This window comes from Homo sapiens, chromosome 11 (assembly GCF_000001405.40).
Source record: "Homo sapiens chromosome 11, GRCh38.p14 Primary Assembly".
NCBI classification, from domain to species: Eukaryota; Metazoa; Chordata; class Mammalia; order Primates; family Hominidae; genus Homo; species Homo sapiens.
Window position 1 is genome coordinate 83,706,843 of NC_000011.10, and position 17,614 is coordinate 83,724,456.

General features: G+C 39.8%; 1 protein-coding gene and 1 long non-coding RNA gene across 56 annotated transcripts in view; one reads left to right on the forward strand and one right to left on the reverse strand.

The window, feature by feature from the left end:
• Positions 1-17,614, reverse strand: part of DLG2 (discs large MAGUK scaffold protein 2) — a 2,173,362-nt gene that overhangs the window by 251,831 nt on the left and 1,903,917 nt on the right. The window lies entirely within an intron of this gene.
• The window catches only part of DLG2-AS2 (DLG2 antisense RNA 2), an 87,698-nt gene that overhangs the window by 69,150 nt on the left and 934 nt on the right, over positions 1-17,614 (forward strand). Inside the window, exon 11 of the long non-coding RNA NR_187249.1 lies at positions 13,988-14,143. This is a non-coding gene — a long non-coding RNA (DLG2 antisense RNA 2). The remainder of the gene's footprint in view (positions 1-13,987; positions 14,144-17,614) is intronic.

Here is a 17,614-nt window from a genome sequence, read left to right on the forward strand (position 1 = left end):
GTTGCTACAGCAATGCCTTGAGTTAGTTTGGCAGAAAAAATGCAAGACTGAGTGCAAGAGGTGACAACACCTTTAAGATTCTTCTAACCCATATGGGGTCATGATAACAACAAAAGTAATTAACACTTATCATCAAGCAAACATAGATACTTTCCATACATTTTATCACTTAATTATCAAAATCAACTCCATGAAGTAGGTCATACTTTTATCTCTATTTATATATACTTTTATCTCTATTTCAAATACGAGAAAATAGCTTTCTAGAACTAAGTGGTCTGCCTGAGGTCATCAATAAATGGAGAACAAAAGATGAGGCTGAAGGACTGGCTGCAGAGCCCTAGAACAACACTGACTCCCCCAGGGCCTATAAGCATCCAAACTTCTCCTATATAGGAGAACAGAAGTAGAAATCAGTTGCCCTTAGGAGTTCCTGTTTCTATATCTGTCTCTGACAAGAGTTCCTTGAAGGTAGAGATTGTGCCTTATTCCTGAATTATATCCAGTACCGTGCAGTGCATGACATATAACAAGTGCACACTGTTGGCCGGGCTCAGTGGCTTACGCCTATAATCCCAGCACTTTGGGAGGCCGAGGGGGGCAGATCACCTGAGGTCAGGAGTTCAAGACCAGCCTGGCTAACATGGTGAAAACCCATCTTTATTAAAAATACAAAAAATTAGTGGGGCGTTGTGGTGCATGCCTGTACTCCCAGCTACTCATGAGGCTGAGGCAAGAGAATCGTTTGAACCTGGGAGGCAGAGGTTGCAGTGAGCTGAGGTGGTGCCACTGCACTTCAGCCTGGACAACAGAGTGAGACTCGGTCTCAACAACAACAATAACAACAGCAATAACAAAAACACAAACAAACAAGTGCACAATGCTTTTGAGATTGGTTGAGTGTCTGTTCCCTCTCAGTGCACTCACGGTTCTTGAAAGCAGGAACCCTGTCTTAATCATCTTTATATCCCAGCACCCAGCACACATAGTTCAATGTTTGCTTGCCCTAACAGAATAAAATTTTCCAGAAGGCAGAATGCATAGGGTTAAAAACGTGCAGCTTCTGTCATATGGGCCTGAGTTAGAGTCCCACCTTTGATACTTTAACTAGTTATATGATCTTGAGTGAACTATGTAATAGTCTTTTAAATCCAGAGCTTCCTCATTTGCAAAAAAGCATGATACTAATTGTATTCCATCATGAGGTTGTGGTGATTATTACATGAAATTTACGTAAAAGCTCTTATCATTAATACTTGGCACATGGCAATCTTGCAATAAATATTAGATATTATGATAATTGTTGGAAATTTATTCTGTGTTTAAGTTATATTTGAAGTTCCTAAACTAGATCTGAAACATTTAGAATGTTCACAGTGGCACATATGGGAAAATCTCTAGAACACAAAGTACCTAGGAAACAGATAGTACCTGTACACAGTGATGCTCAATAAATATTTGTTGAATGTCAGATAAAAAACAATGAGCCATGTTTGCTTTTGGCATGAATTACCAGCACAAATGTTGAAAATAGAAAAATATAATATACGTTGCTATTTAATACCTGACAGGGAGAAAGTATCAGTAGCCCAAGATCTGACTGTAAACAAAGAGGAGAAACAGCTATATAACCTATGAAAGGTGTGAAGCCATAAAACAAGGCCAGAAATTTGGTAATCATTCTCAAGACAATATGATAACAAATGTCTTTCAATACTTGGCTTTATGTACCTCCCCAATTTCGTATCACTTGTGTTTTATGGTCAAAAATTGCAATATGTTGCCATTTTTTTAAATTACAGAGCTATGTATTTCCTTAAAGTACTGTATTTTCCTTAAAGTACCTAATTAGCTAATACTACTTAATTACAATTTACATTTAGATTCTGCAGACTGAAGGATCTATTTTGGAATCCTTTTTTTTAATGGGATATGGAACCCAGATACTAAGGAAGAAACTGGGGGATAGAAGATCAATGCCCAAGGCTGTGTAGGCTTAGTGGGTATTCTCTTTGGATCATGAGAGAAAGACTTGGATTGCATTCCAGCTCTGCCACTTATTTACTAGTTGAGTGATCTTGGACAAATTATTTCCTGTGTAAATCTGTTTTTCATAGTCTCTAGTATGAGGCTGCTGGTGCCCATTTCCCTGACTTTACTTGATGATTTATTAGGGGAACAAGCAGAGTCCACTGTATGTGGTATGTACTCAACCGCTGCTTGTTCTCTTCCCCTCTTAAAGGTAAGAGACAAGTCTGAGTCCTGGGGTAGCTGCCAATAATATTCATTCAGGTCCCCTTCTTAATTATGCAATTCATCAAGAAAGAATCTTTTTGAGAGGAAAAAAATAAAAGTCTGAAATCAGCATGCCTAGGACAAAATTTTACACTGTGTGTGTGTGTGTGTGTATATGTGTGTATATATGTATGTATATATACATATATGTACATATATACATATACGTATATATGTATAAAGTTATATATATTATATATACATATATATAATATATATACACACACACACACATATATATATAACTTTAGTTTTTTCAACAAGATTGCTCATTAAGCAAGAACCACATTGTAAAGTTCAGCTCCACCTTAGTTTGCTTTCTGGCCAACTAATCTGGGCAGACTTTTAAAATCACACTGGCTGGTAGGTGAATATGGTGTTTCATTACAATCATTACATTTACCACCCCAGTGCTGGTAATATTCTCTAGGCTGCCTGTGATGCTTAGTGGCTGAGTGGCAAGTAAGAAGTTTAATTTAGCTTTCTCAGCATCTGCAGGTTTTGTTTTCAACAAAGAACTTCAGGTTACATAACAGCCTTGGCTTGTTTCAGAAGGTGAAACTTGACTCTCCAAATTAACTGTTGATACAGGTCTTCAGAAGCAGAACTTGATGTATCTGGAAGTGATCCCCCCCAAGTCATTTGGAAAGTAACAATGGCACTTGACCTTCCTGGTTACTTAGCAAAAGAAGGCAGGAGAAAGAAGGTTCTAAGCGTAAGTAGGTGATCATTGAAAGGGCAGATACAGCCTCTAAAAATCAGGTTAGGCCTTCCTTTCCCAACCCTTTCTAGCTTTACCCTCTTGCTGTCCACACTCCACTGGATAGGTGTGTCTCACTGTTGTGGGTGAGCATTTTGTGAAAGATTTTAGAAAAAGCAAAGGGGAAAGTGTAACATGAAAATAGGGTGCCTGGGATCATATGAAAACAAAGGAGAGAGGAATATGAGGTGGGTACACTGTCCTGAACTATTTCATTTAACACATGTGAAATGTGGATGGAATGAAGCCCAGCACAGCAAATAAGGTACTTTTTTTTTTTTTTGAGACTGAGTGTTATTCTGTTGCCCAGTCTGGAGTGCAGTGGCACCATCTCGGCTCACTGCAATCTCCGCCTCCTGGATTCAAGCAATTCTCCTGCCTCAGCCTCCCAAGTAGCTTGGACTACAGGTACCCGCCACCATGCCTGATTAATTTTTTATTTTTGATACAGACAGGGTTTCACTACATTGGCCAGGTTGGTCTCGAACTTCTGATCTCAAGTGATCCACCCCCGCTCAGCCTCCCAAATGCTGGGATTATAGGCATGAGCCACCTTGCCTGGCCAGATACTTTTCATCCACTCAAGAGGAAGACACAAGAAGCGGATAATTTTAGTATAAGATAGTGAGTGCCAAGATGGACAATTCATAGGAACAAAGAGCAGTGGTATTGGAATGACAGAAGAGGATAATCAGAGACTAATTAACAACAATATATAGTTCATATAACATGTTTCTATTTGCAGATGTGGACGGCATAACCAAAGCTTGAAACTGGTACAAGGACATTCATGTAGTTAGTAGGACATGAGAGACATTTAGGGTTTAGTCTTGTAAATACAACAGAAATAAATTTTCTGACTCCAAATCCTATGTATTTTTCTAGTAGCGAGAAGAAGCTGAGGGCAGGTGGAATGGGTTCATATAAATATACTCCAGAATAAAAAAGGTAAATGTAATATTATAAAGTATTATAGTAACATAAATATGCTAGTAACAATCATTTGTAATACTAATAAATGTAACCAATTTTCATGGAGCACTAACTGTACCCAAGGACTGTGTTAAACTCTTAACATGGACTGTCTCATTTATTCTCACAGCCCCTTTGACAAATGTAAAGCCTGATACTTGGTTAGGTGACACACCTAAGGTTCCACATAACTAGATCCTGACTATAAAACCATAGCCTCAGCAGTCACCAACCCCCTTATTGAACTGTGCATTCAAAGAATGCAATTCAAAATCAGATACACATTCCTTCTTGCCTTGTGCACACAAAGAGAACTAGATAAAGAAGATGACAACTCAGCAAAGGCCAAAATGTCACTGATAAGCTGTGTAAAGGGACAATCACATGGGATAGGGTGTATAGATGCTATGACCACTCTGCTCAGTAGAGGCACTACACTGCTGAAGGTTAGTTAGACAGATAACTAGCTTCCCAGCATTTCCCCTCACTTGGACGCCTCTGTGGTATCATTTGCTACAAAAGGAGGTCTTCTCGGGTAATGGGATGACGTCCATCTGTGACTTGACGTCAAGTGAGTCATTGGACTGTCGTCATAGGGCAGGCACCTCAGTGTAGATCAAGTTCACCCTGTGGGAACCCTGCAAGTTTGCTGGTGAGTTTTATATTTATTCTGAAGTAACACACTTGGCACCTCAGGCTGACTAATATCTATGTGTGACCAAGGTAACTACCCAGCTAGCCAGCTTTCACAGTTGTAAGAAAAGTTACAGGCAGAAAAACATAATTGAACACTAAGATGAGGGTCACTGTGCAAGTATCATGTCTAGACTCCAGTCTAAGTGTGTGGGTGTTTCCATTGCCTGTCTTTTTATTAGGGTTTACAGGAAGCCTTGCTAATCAAAGCATGCTCCATGGGCCAAAGCAGGAGTACTAGGTCACCTGAGAGCTTGCTATAATCATTTTAGACTCTACTTGGTGAAGCATGTACATATTCTTTTAAAGAATTTATTTTTTACTAAGCTCAACATCAAATTATTAGAGAAATGCAAATCAAAACCACAACGAGATACTATCTCATGCCAGTCAGAATAGCTGTTATTAAAAAGTCAAAAAGCAAAAAACAAACAAACAAACAAAAAAACCGGATCTTGGTGAGGTTGCAGGAAAAAAGTTGCATTTACACTGTTGGTGGGAGTGTAAATAAGTCCAACCATTGTGGAAGACAGTGTAGTGATTCCTCAAAGACCTAGTGGCAGAAATACCATTTGGCCCAGCAATCCTATTATTGGGTATACACCTAAAGGAATATAAGTCATTCTATTATAAAGATACATGCACGTGTATGTTCACTGCAGCACTATTCACAATAGTAAAGACGTGGAATCAACCTAAATGCCCATCAATGATAGACTAGATAAAGAAAATGTCGTACATATACACCACGGAATACCATGCAGTCATAAAAAGGATCAAGATTTGCCGGGCGTGGTGGCTTACACCTGTAATCCTAGTACTTTGGGAGGCTGAGGCGGGTGGATCACCTGAGGTCAGGAGTTTGAGACCAGCCTAACCAACATGGTGAAATCCCCTCTCTATTAAAAATACAAAAAATTAGCCCGGTGTGGTGTTGCATGCCTGTAATCCCAGCTACTCGGGAGGCTGAGGTGGGAGAATTACTTGAACCTGTGGGGCAGAGGTTGCAGTGAGCTGAGATCATGCCACTTCACTCCAGCCTGGGCAAGAGAACATAAATCCATCTCAAAAAAAAGGATCAAGATTCTGTCCTTTGCAGGGACATGGATGGAGTTGGATGCCATTATCCTTAGCAAACTAACACAGGAACAGAAAACTGAACACTGAATGTTCTCACTTATAAGTGGGAGCTGAATGATGAGAATACATGGACACACAGTGGGAAACAACACACACTGGGGGCTGTCAGTGGGGACAGGGGCACGGAGAGCATCAGGAAGAATAGCTAATGGATGCTAGGCTTAATACCTAGGTGATGGGATGATCTGTGCAGCAAATCACCGTGGCACAAGTTTACCTATGTAATAAACCTGCGCATCCTGCCCATGTACCCCGGAACTTAAAATAAAAGTTGAAAAAAAAAGAAAGAAAATAAAAAAAAATTTATTTTTTTACTAAATATTTGTTTAATTGCAAACTGAGAATATACAAAAAGGAAAAGATAAATGAATACACTAGGCAGATTATCATATTAGTTACACAGTGCTTTCACATGTTTTCCTCCTTTAATCTTTTTAAAACCCTTAAAATCTTATCTGTTTTCTTACTGATAAATAAATTGTCTGAAGAAGGTAAAAAGATCTCATCATTGGGGAAGAATTTGAACCTAGGCATTCCAGCTCCAGATTCCACAATTTTCCCCATAAGTTACACTACCTCATTAAAGGAATTTAGAAGGTTGCTTTAACTTGGAGTAGTCAAAAAAGGAAAAACTTGAACTGAGATTTGAAGAATGGGTGAGGTTTGCATAAAAGACGGATTTCCAGAGTCGAAGAACATCAAAAACACAAATACTTGGAGAATGGCAAGACAAAGTATTTTTCAGGAGAAGCCTAAAGAAAGTATTTAAATGTAGGGTTCATGTTCCTACGTGAGCAGCAGGAGGGAAGAATGAGATGACGATGAAAACCAGATCATGGAAGGCCTTGAAAGCTATAGGGCAGAGAGTTGGGCTACTTGGAAACTCAGGGAAAGAGTGACATAAGGAATATATTTCCAGAAGATAAATTATTCCAGTTTGGTTCATTAAGCTTTTATTGTAGATTTTAATATGCAATGGAAAATATGCTTTTAAAATGAGGGATGAATAAATTCCAAAAAGTACTTTAGAAAACTCTCTTCACACTACTGCACTGTGGCAATTGCACCATCTGTAATTCTGCACCTGCTTCGTCAACTGCTGGCTGCATTTCAGGAGACCTGACTTCACTGTTTTCTGACTGAGGCATACAGTATTTGCCAGAGTACTTGCGAATGTGCAAGGATGAAAAGAGCATTGGCTAGGAACACAGATGTCTTTTCAGCAGAGAATTAGGTGGATGATTCATCTCTAGAGTATCAAAAGTGTGAAGTAAGTGAAGTTGCCAGAGTGGGTCTGAAAACATACTATTGGGTCAATGTTGTGCAAGTGGGACATATTTTTCTACTAAGGGTCACATACATAAAACAACTTGATTCCAAAGCAACTGTTTTGTTCTTAACAAAACAGAAACAGTTGGTTGCTGTTTATGTTAAGAATAGAAACTACAAATGTAACTAAAGTAAAACTTTAAAATGTCAGTTTAATATTATGTGAAGATTAAGAAAGAGAGAAAAGGAGTAGTTCTAAAGGGGAAACAATTGAGGAAGAGGAGAAGAGAGTAAAATGTAGGCAAATGCAGAGGAAATGGGGAGAAAAGATAAAGAAAAAGAGGAAAAGAAGGAATGGTGGGGAGACACTTAATTGAGGGCTATCAAGCCTTTTAATGTGCATTATCTACTTTAATAATGATCTGACTCCATATGGTAGATAGTATACCCATTTCATAGATAAGAAAACTGATACTATTAGAGATTAAGTAATCTGTCTAAGATCACATAGATAAATAGTAGAGCTGGAATTCAAACATTCAATTCATTTGAATCTCAGGATATATTGAAGTGAATGTCAGTCAGAGAAGCCATACTAGGCTACTTAACCTCTCTAACATTAACATGTGCTTCCTCATTTGAAAGATGAGTAGCATTTCTAAAGCTGCTGGATACAGTAAGCTCCACAGTAACAGCTATCATTACAGGAGCCCTTTGAGAGGATCAGTTAACTCACTACTGATAACTATAATTTGTTTTATTATTATTATACTTTAAGTTCTAGGGTACATGTGCACAGCATGCAGGTTTGTTACATAGGTACACGTGTGCCACGTTGGTGGGAGTGTAAATTAGTTCAACCATTGTGGAAGACAGTGTGGCGATTCCTCAAGGATCTAGAACAAGAAATGTCATTTGACCCAGCAATCCCATTACTAGGTATATACCCAAAGGATTATAAATCATTCTACTATAAAGACACATGCACACATATGTTTATTGCAGCACTGTTCACATTAGCAAAGTCTTGGGACCAACCCAAATCCAGTCAATGATAGACTGGATAAAGAAAATGTGGCACATATACACCATGGAATACTATGCAGCCATAAAAAAAGGATGAGTTCATGTCCTTGCAAGGACATGGATGAAACTGGTAACTACAATTTTAACTCCTTCCCTCTGGTCCCAAGTCTGAGGATCAAAAACTCACAGGAATCATTGGTGTTCTGGGAAAGAATCCTCAAATCCACCAGGCACCAAACATTCCACATGCTGAATCAAGAATATCTTCTCCATATATTTCCTACTAGATATTAAATATACATAGATTGCACTGTGAATAATTTAATTTGATGTATCATTCTATCATTCACCATTATCTTTATCAACAGAATCTAAAAGTACCAGCATTCTCAAACAGTTAAAAAGGGATTCCTTGCATTCAAAACCTGGGAACGACTATAAGTATAATCTTAGAGTTTTCCACACTAAAGAGGCAAGAGAGCAGCCAGCTGAGGCCTATACCTGACATTTCCACCTTTGAGGCAAATGATCCCCACCCTTGTCTTCTTAATGACTGTCCTTTGTTCACTGCAGAGAGATGTGATTTTTTTCTAATGGCAAAATTGATCTTGTCCCTTTCCTGCTTAAAACCACTTAACTGGTTTTACTACCTTCAGACTAAAAATCAAACTCAACTGGGCATAACGATTGTTCCGTGATCCTTCTCTGATTCAGGTCCTTCCTAGCAATCCAGGCCCGACCAGATACTCATCTAAGCTCCTGCCTATTGAACTACTTTCACTTCCTAGGACAAGCTGAGAGCTCCCTCTCCCTGTCCTACTTTTCTACTTACTGTTCCTTCTCCTTTCCACTCTTCAGGGTTGACTTCTCAATGTTTCACACCTCAGCTTTGACATTTCTTCTTCCAGGAGGCCTTTTCTGATCATCTCATTAGGCTGAATTAAGCATTCCTCACCTAGGAGCCTATAAGACTCCCATAGTATTGATTACATTGATTATATTGCATTTTGATTGCCCCCAAACTGGATTCTAAGCTCTGTGAGGATGGAGGTCATGTTTGATTTGTCCTCCAATGCCCACCATGCCTGGCACATAACATAGCAAGTGCTCAATAAAGATCTGCTTAGTACATTTAAAACTCCATGAGAGTCCTAACTCCAAAGGTCAGGGAAGCACGTGTTTTTTTGTTTGTTTTTTCTTTCTTTTTGGTTTATTTTGATTTTCCGCAGAAGAAAACCACATATCAATAAATCTATTTCCTACTTAAAACCATTAAGTTACAGCTTCAAGCACAGAGACTAGAGAATGGGAGGGAGCCAGCAGCCCTGGCAGCCAGTCCTGGGGTTCTTGGCCAGTTGTCTTACTCTCAGGCCCTGGCTTTTCCTACTTAACCAGTGGAATTAACATCAGTTGCTCATTTTTCATTTCTACAAGAACTTCAGTGTCTCTCAGTAAGTTTTATAGAACTAGTGATAAAAATTGACAGCTCAGTGGTGTTGCTTTAGATGCACTGTGTTTTAACATGGGGATTTATCTATGCTCGGGGATATACAAACTGTTTTAAGTCCTCTCCAAATGCTCTTCAAAATGGATCCCAAAAAAAGTATTAGGTCACTGTCACAGATTATACCCATTTTGCAGATAGAAACCAAAGATCGAGAGGTCAAGGGATGATTTCCTTTTGATCACATAATAGAATGTTTTGGAAAAGAGATTTTTTTTTCTCGATTCTACTTCTTTCCTTTTGGCCCATCATACAGACTTTTCTCACATAATCTTCAATGCTTTAATGTATTTGGTTTTTTATAAGTCTTTCTTTTACTAGACTTTAAGCTCCTTGTAGGCAGGGACTAGATCTTGTTTTTCTTTCTGTTTTTAGCTTAGGACCTGGAATTGCGTAGGCATGAAAAAAATGTTACTGAAATGTTTGCCCAGCTCTTACAAATGCTCTAACAACCATACTCTTAGGCTTACTGTCATGAAAGTATTCCTGTCTTGTGATTTACTGAAATCTCAGTTTTAAAAGGAACTTAAATATTTTGTAGTACCCTCCACCTCCCCACTCCTGATTGTACTAATGTTATACTCTACTTAAACTTCTTCAGTAAATTGGAGCTCCTGTCTTTTCGAGAAAGTACAGTATACCTCTCACTAACTAGGAAAAAGTCCTAGATTTTTCCTTTGAAGCTACAGAGAACATGATTTGCACACACTGAGCTCCCTAAAAAACGACCACCAATACAAATTAAAAAGCAACACTCTGCAAGTTTAAATTTAAATCTTAATTCATCTAATCTAGATGACTTAAATGTTTGCTTTTCACTTTAACAGCAGGGAACCCATTTAAAAATATTTTTCAAATAAATAAAGACTCCTAGATATTAATGCAGATGCAAATCTGTCTGGAGATTAATGAATTACTGCCACATCCTAAAAGTGGCCACTAGAGAAAAGAGGAGTAGCTGAAGGTTTTGTAGGGGCTTAGTCACATAGTCCAGTAGTAATAGTTGGGAAATGAGTAGAGAGGGGATAACAAAAATAAAAACAAACAGTTCAATTAGTCTAGATGGAGAAAAACAGCCCACAGGCTAATTGACTATAGCTGTCACGACAGTTGATTACAGTGTCTGTCTGTAAAAACACAGGGGGAAAAAAGTACAGAAAAACTCATGGCCTGTTTGGCTGCCTTTTGTTGGTGAAATATCCTACAAATAGATGATGCAATGCAAGCCAGCCCCTCTCTGGTAAGAAACAGAGTGAACCCAGTGACGTGGCAGTGTGGTAGGAGGCACTGTCTGCTGACACAGAAAAAAAGGTGGCCTTGCAGACTGTGGTTTGAAATGCCTTAGGAGCCAGGTGCTAGGTTACATTATTGTGTTCAAAGACAGATCCTTTGGGTTATATCTTTTCTGTGTCCAAATGACTTACAAACGATGATACTCTTAGGGCTACTGACTCAATAGTAAAGGAACAATCCCTGTTCTGGTCTATCTTTGGGAGTAAAGACGGCTTTACCTTCAAACCTGCTCCGTACTCCCTCTGGGGGTCCATTATGCTCAGGGGGACAAAGACAAGTGCAGCACATGCTTTTGGGAGAAAAGATTGGTCATAAACAGTAAATTAAAATGCAATAGTTTAAATTCTATAGGTGCACAGAGGAAAGGGAGCACCTCTCTGCTGTGGGCAATTGGGAGTAGAGACGGCTTCTCAGAGCAGGACTTAAAACTGGGCTTCTAAGGTCATTAAGAGTTTGTTAAGGCCAGGTGCAATGGCTCATGCCTGTAATCCCAACTCTTTTGGAGGCCAAGGCAGCCGGATCACCTGAGGTCAGGAGTTCAAGACCAGCCTGGCCAAGATGGTGAAACTCTGTCTCTACTAAAAATACCAAAAATTAGCCGGGCATGATGGTCCAGCTACTCAGGAGGTTGAGGCAGGAGAATTGCTTGAACCTGGGAGGCGGAGCTTGCAGTGGGCCGAGATTGTGCCACTGCACTCTAGCCTAGGTGATAAGAGTGAAACTCCATCTCAAAAAAAGAAAAAAAAAAAAAAAAAAAGAAAGAAAAAAAGAAATATCCCATGTTATGGAAACAATCAGCAGCAGTTCTTGATGGCTGGAAGATTGAGGAAATGACAATGGGTTTCTTATTTTAGCGAGGTAAGTATATTGGCAGGGTGGAAAATAGACTGAGAGGCTGAGAGGGAGGTGAAGTTGGGGAGCCCAGTTAGGCAGCTGTTATAAAAACTTAAGTCAAGATGAGTAGGATTACTCTCTAAGAAGACAATATTGAAGAAAATGTTGCCCTGGGGTAAAAAGAATAAGGAGCAACTGGGTTCTAATACACCGTAGGGCCAGCTTGCATCTCCTAGCCCAATCCAGTCACCAGGCAAGTGAAGGTCACATTCTTGTCCAGACAACTGCAGCTGGGACTAGTTTTGATCTCAGATTCCAGCACCTATAGGCACCAGAGCAGCAATTCTCAATCCTGCCCATTCTTCACCTGGGAAACGTTTTTTAAATGCAGGTGCCTCAACTCTACTTCAGACCTACTGAGTGAGAATCCCTGAAAGGAGCTACAGTTTAAAAATACCCTGCACAGCCAGAACTGAGAGCCATGGCCCACACAGCAGTCAGGCCTAACAGTGACTCTTATTTGGTGTCTTTCTGGAAAAGTCTGTAGGTGTATGCATATGGCACTTGGGACACATTGTAATGGATGCAGTGTTAGAGGACTGAGAAGCCCATGAAGCAAGCTGCTTTTTCCAGGGGAGACATCACTATTAGCAGAAATGGAAGAGACGCCCTGCCACTATGTGACTTGAGTGTTTTGATCTTGAGAGATTTGAACATACCTCTGAGCACACTCAAAGGAGATGTCTTAGTCCATCTGTGCTGTTATAAAAATAAAAACAATTCTGAGGCTGGGTACTTTATAAAGAGATTATTTTGGCTCACAATCCTGCAGGCTGTACAAGAAACATGGCACCAGCATCTGCTTCTGGTGAAGGCCTCAGTGTGCTTCCACTCCTGGCAAAAGGGGAAGGTTAGCGGGCATGTGCAGAAGTCAAACAGTGAGAAAAGAGGCAAGGTGGAAGTAGGTTCCAGGCCCTTTTTGGCAACCAGCTCTGAAGGAATTTACTCAGTGACCCCAGGGAGGGCATTAATCTATTCATGAGGGATCTGCCTCTGGGACCCAAACAGCCCCCATTAGGCCCTACCTCTAACAGTGGGAGAAAATTACAACGAGAAGTTTGGCGGGCAAAAATATCAAAACTATAGCAGGAGGTGTTCCAAAAGAATTTGGGGGACTGACTCTATAAAGAATATAATACAGGTTCTTAATCATCAATGACAGTCAATAAGGAGACAGGAGAAAACACCAGTCTTAGCCTTTGTTCCCGACAAACAGACTGGATAACTTCCATCAAGGTGAATCTGTATATTACATGCTATCTCCACATCCAGAACTCTTGTATACTGTGAATAAGAAAATCTTAGTAAAAAGAATGACTTTCAGCCGGGCGCAGTGGCTCACGCCTGTAATCCCAGCACTTTGGGAGGCCGAGGTGGACGGATCACCTGAGGTCAGGAGCTCGAGACCAGCCTGGTCAACATGGCAAAACCCCATCTCTACTAAAAATACAAAAAATTAGCTGAGCATGGTGGCTCGTGCCTGTAGTCCCAGCTACTTGGGAGGCTGAGACATAAGAATCACTTGAACCCAGGAGGCGGAGTTGCAATGAGCCAACATCACACCACTGCACTCCAGCCTGGGTGACAGAGTGAGACTCCATCTCAGAAAAAAAAAAAAAAAAAAAAAAAAAAAAAAAAGAATGACATTCACTTAAGTTATGTAAGTTATGCCTGAGAAGCTAAAACCATTTCTGTTTCTCAAGCTTTTCCACTACAAAAGGTACTCCAAGTGTATTGTGTTCTTTACCTTTTTCAAGATTCTCAAAAGCCCAGGGAAATAATAATTACAACCTACAGATGGAAGAATGAGGTTCTAAAAGCTTCATAGGCTTAGTAAAGACTATATAAAGTAACTTGGGAAAGCTCACAGAGCTAAGAAGTGATGGATCTCTCCCTGAACCCATATCTGACAAAGCCAATGCTGGTAACCACCACACTGTAAATACTTACATATCTCCAGAATTCACAGTCCGTCTTGAATATTAACACATTGAAATGAAAGAGTAAGTAAAGTTTAGGATTATCTTTGACTCCCTTCTTCAGCCCTCCCTTTTTTTTTTTTTTTTTTTTTAATTACCAGAGAGTAGGGCCAGGGAAGAAGCTTCTCTAACTCAAGAACCCTCTCTTCTGCTGCTCACCAGGTCTGAATAGCCCTTGTGAAGGCAGCATTTGAGAGAACTTCTCTGCCACATGCTGATTCCTCTCACCGCGGGAAGAAACCAACCTACCCTGGGGAGCCTGAGAGCTCTTTGAGTATCTGGGGGTGAATCAACTAATCTGATTAATTGTTTTCAGAGGTGAGGAGCTGGGTACTGAGGAAGGGAAAATTTTGATGAGAAAGAATCTGGGCCTTTAGCATGTGAAACATGAGGCTCAGAATTTAATGACTTGTTCAAAGGGAGATTTTTAATAGACATGCTTTAACCAGCTATTTTGGACATCTTATACAGGTGAGAAGAGAAGGGGGATAGCAGTTGGCCAAGCTATAAGGACACTTAAAAGGACACTATAAGACTGCAAACCAGATCAGTGTGAACGTACAAGTTAATTAACTCATTTAACAGACCCTTACTATTGAGTAACTACAGACATTTTTTATTTGCATGGTTCCAATATGCATGAATTTTCATTACCATGATTTGAGTAGTTCCAGTCCCCCAACAACACAATTCAAACTTTAGCTACCACAATATATTAAGTATGAGTGATTGCATAAGGCACAAACCTGCTACTAGCTCTTCAATTCACAAATTTCTACACAATAACACATGCGCATCATCATCAGTGACTCACGTCAGTTCTTTCAAGGTCTGTCAGTGACTGGTCACTGAGCACCTGCTATTCACTTCACAACACAGACAGTAAAGCATACTTGTTTTGCCTCCTTGTCTCCAGTGATAAATCCACAGACATTTTACAAAAATGGATAATTCAAAGAGGGACTTTGTCAGCAATGAGGAAAGCACAGCAAGAAAACAAAAAGTTATAATGCTGTAAGTGAAATTTAGATGCGACAACGAATTATAGAAGATACAGCTGACTATGGGAATGTCGACCTCAACGCTCATTGAGAAATTCCACATATGCAGCCAGAGGAACTTACTGAAGGCAAACTTATGAATATAAATAAAGAAGGTGGCTGGGATATAAAGGATGAAAATGTCCCAGAGAATATGATACTGGCAAAAAAATTTACATTGAAGAACTCTTGTAGGTATTTCAAAACACAAAGTGCAAAGGATAAAAGGTTGCCAGATGATTAGAAAAAAGTGTGACAGTTTGCCAAGGCATATAAAAAATACTTGCTCTGTATCACAAGTTATATGACTGACAAGAAGAAAAAGGCAAGTACTATTCCAACTACTCTTTTTTCCAAAGAAATATAATAATTTTCACTGTTTCTAATATTTTAAAGAATAGCATACTAATAAAATATTATTTTACTATTTTTTATTTCCCTATATATCTAACAAAAAGATAATTTTTAACGTTTTGACAAAAAACTGGAAAGTTTATGGGTCAATCATAGTTTTTCTCATTGATCATTATGGTTTCATTCTTATGGTCTCCCACTGCCATGCAAAGTAAGAATTTTCCTGTTTTAAGTGCCAAGCATAAGAAGACATGGTCCCTACCCTCATGGTGGTCTTACGGCAACAATTAATTCTAAAAATCTGTGATTGTTCTATTTAATAAGGGTGCTAGCCTAGCTCAAGGCACTCATAAAGCCTGTAGAGGAGTTGTGGGAAGTAAATTTGGTAGGGGATATGGAGAAAGTAGCAAAGGAAGTACTGATGGGGGTGAGCTCCAACTCTGAGGAAAATGCAAATCTCTCCAGTCCAGCAAGTTTACCTCCTCACCTCCAGAGGCGGGGTGGGGAGTGACTCCAGGCTGGTTTTTAAACTGGCTGCCAACTGCTCAGCTGTAATGCCAGATACATATTAATTGCCAACAGAAAGCAGAGACACAGGTTCAAGTTCCTTCTCAAAAGTAATACAGAAACTTGAAATGCTAACAAGTGCCACCTTCAGCCAACTTAGGTGAATAAACTTTCTTAAAATCAGTACAAAATGTTTGGATGCAAGTCTCTTAGTCCCCAGAGCCACAGAAATGCAAAGAAGCATCAGGGGCTGTGACAATATATGTTCTTAAGGAAATACAGTTATAGGAGCATATGAAATGACGCATCTGGCTTTATGAGCTGGCAATGATTTTTAAGTCCAGAACGTATGTTACATTGCACTGTTTTTCCATCATAAAACATTTAAAAAATTTTATTTATGGCCCCTACCAGAAAGATGTGTGGCTATGTTACATGCATGTGGATGCAATTAGGAACAAAGCCACTAAGAGGTAGAAGGTTCATTAGGATTCATCTTGTCCAACTTCTCATTTAAAAAACAACAAAACGGCCAGGGGTGGTGTCTCAAACCTGTAATCCCAGCACTTTGGGAGGCCGAGGAGGGCAGATCATTTGAGGTTAGAAGTTCGAGACCAGCCCGGCCAACATGATGAAACCCCATCTCTACTGAAATACAAATATTAGCTGGGCATGGGGGCGGGCACCTGTAATCCCAGCTACTTGGGAGGCTGAGGCAGAAGAATCGCTTAAACCCAGGAGGCGGAGGTTGCAGTGAGCTGACATCGCACCACTGCACTCCAGCCTGGGCAACAGAGTGAAACTCTCTCAAAAAATAAAAATAAATAAATAATTAAATTGAAAACAACAAAACAACAAATGAGGTGAATTTAGTCGAAGGAGGCCAACTGCCTAGCTCCATAGTCAGATTCCTGCATCATAATAACAACAGCTGACATTGAGTGAGTATTAGTTTGTGCTGGGTGCAATGCTGTGGGTTTTACCAAAGAAGCATTATCTTGGGGGGCCAGAAATAGTGGCTCACGCCTGTAATCTCAGCACTTTGGGAGGCCAAGGCAGGTGGATCACCCGAGGTCAGGAGTTTGAGACCAGCCTGGCCAGCATGGTGAAACTCTGTCTCTACCAAAAAATACAAAAATTAGCCAGGCATGGTGGCACATGGCTGTAGTCTCAGCTACTCAGGAGGCTGAGGTGAGAGAATCACTTGAACCTGGGAGGCGGAGGTTGCAGTGAGCCAAGATCGCACCACTGCACTCCAGCCTGGGTGAAAGAGTGAGATCACATCTCAAAAAAAATAAATACATAAGTAAAAATAAAAAGCATGAACCTCAGAAATTGTAAAATAGTTACTACTACCATTATCATTTTACAGGTTTATGTTATTCAGCTAACCATGAGAGAGCTGGGATTTGAATTCAGGCAGAATAATCTGAGCTGACATTCTTAACTATGAAGCTATGATTGTTAAAAATTATCCTTTCCAGTTACTTAACTATGTGGCCCAAAATAAGGTAACCGTGCCCCCTGGAGGATGTTAGAGTCTAGCTTTCCATATACTACTACTAATCTTTAAACAACCACCAGAACGTACTACCCATTTTACTGATAAGAAAACTGAACGCGTAAAATAAAATGGTTTCCCAAGGTTGCACAGTTTATGATTGGTGAAAGCAGAATTCAACATTCAAGTCTGTCTGGTTCTTTCACACACATAAGCCTGGCTCCCTGGATTAGAACTAGGCTCTCCCGAAGCACGCTCTCTGGTTTCTGTTTGAACAGGACTTGCATACATTAAATGTCTGATCTGAAATCAATGTGGATCCAGGTATTGCTGGAACCAATTTAAGTCTAAAGCAAATATTTCACATTCCTTAATCAATCTCTCTCT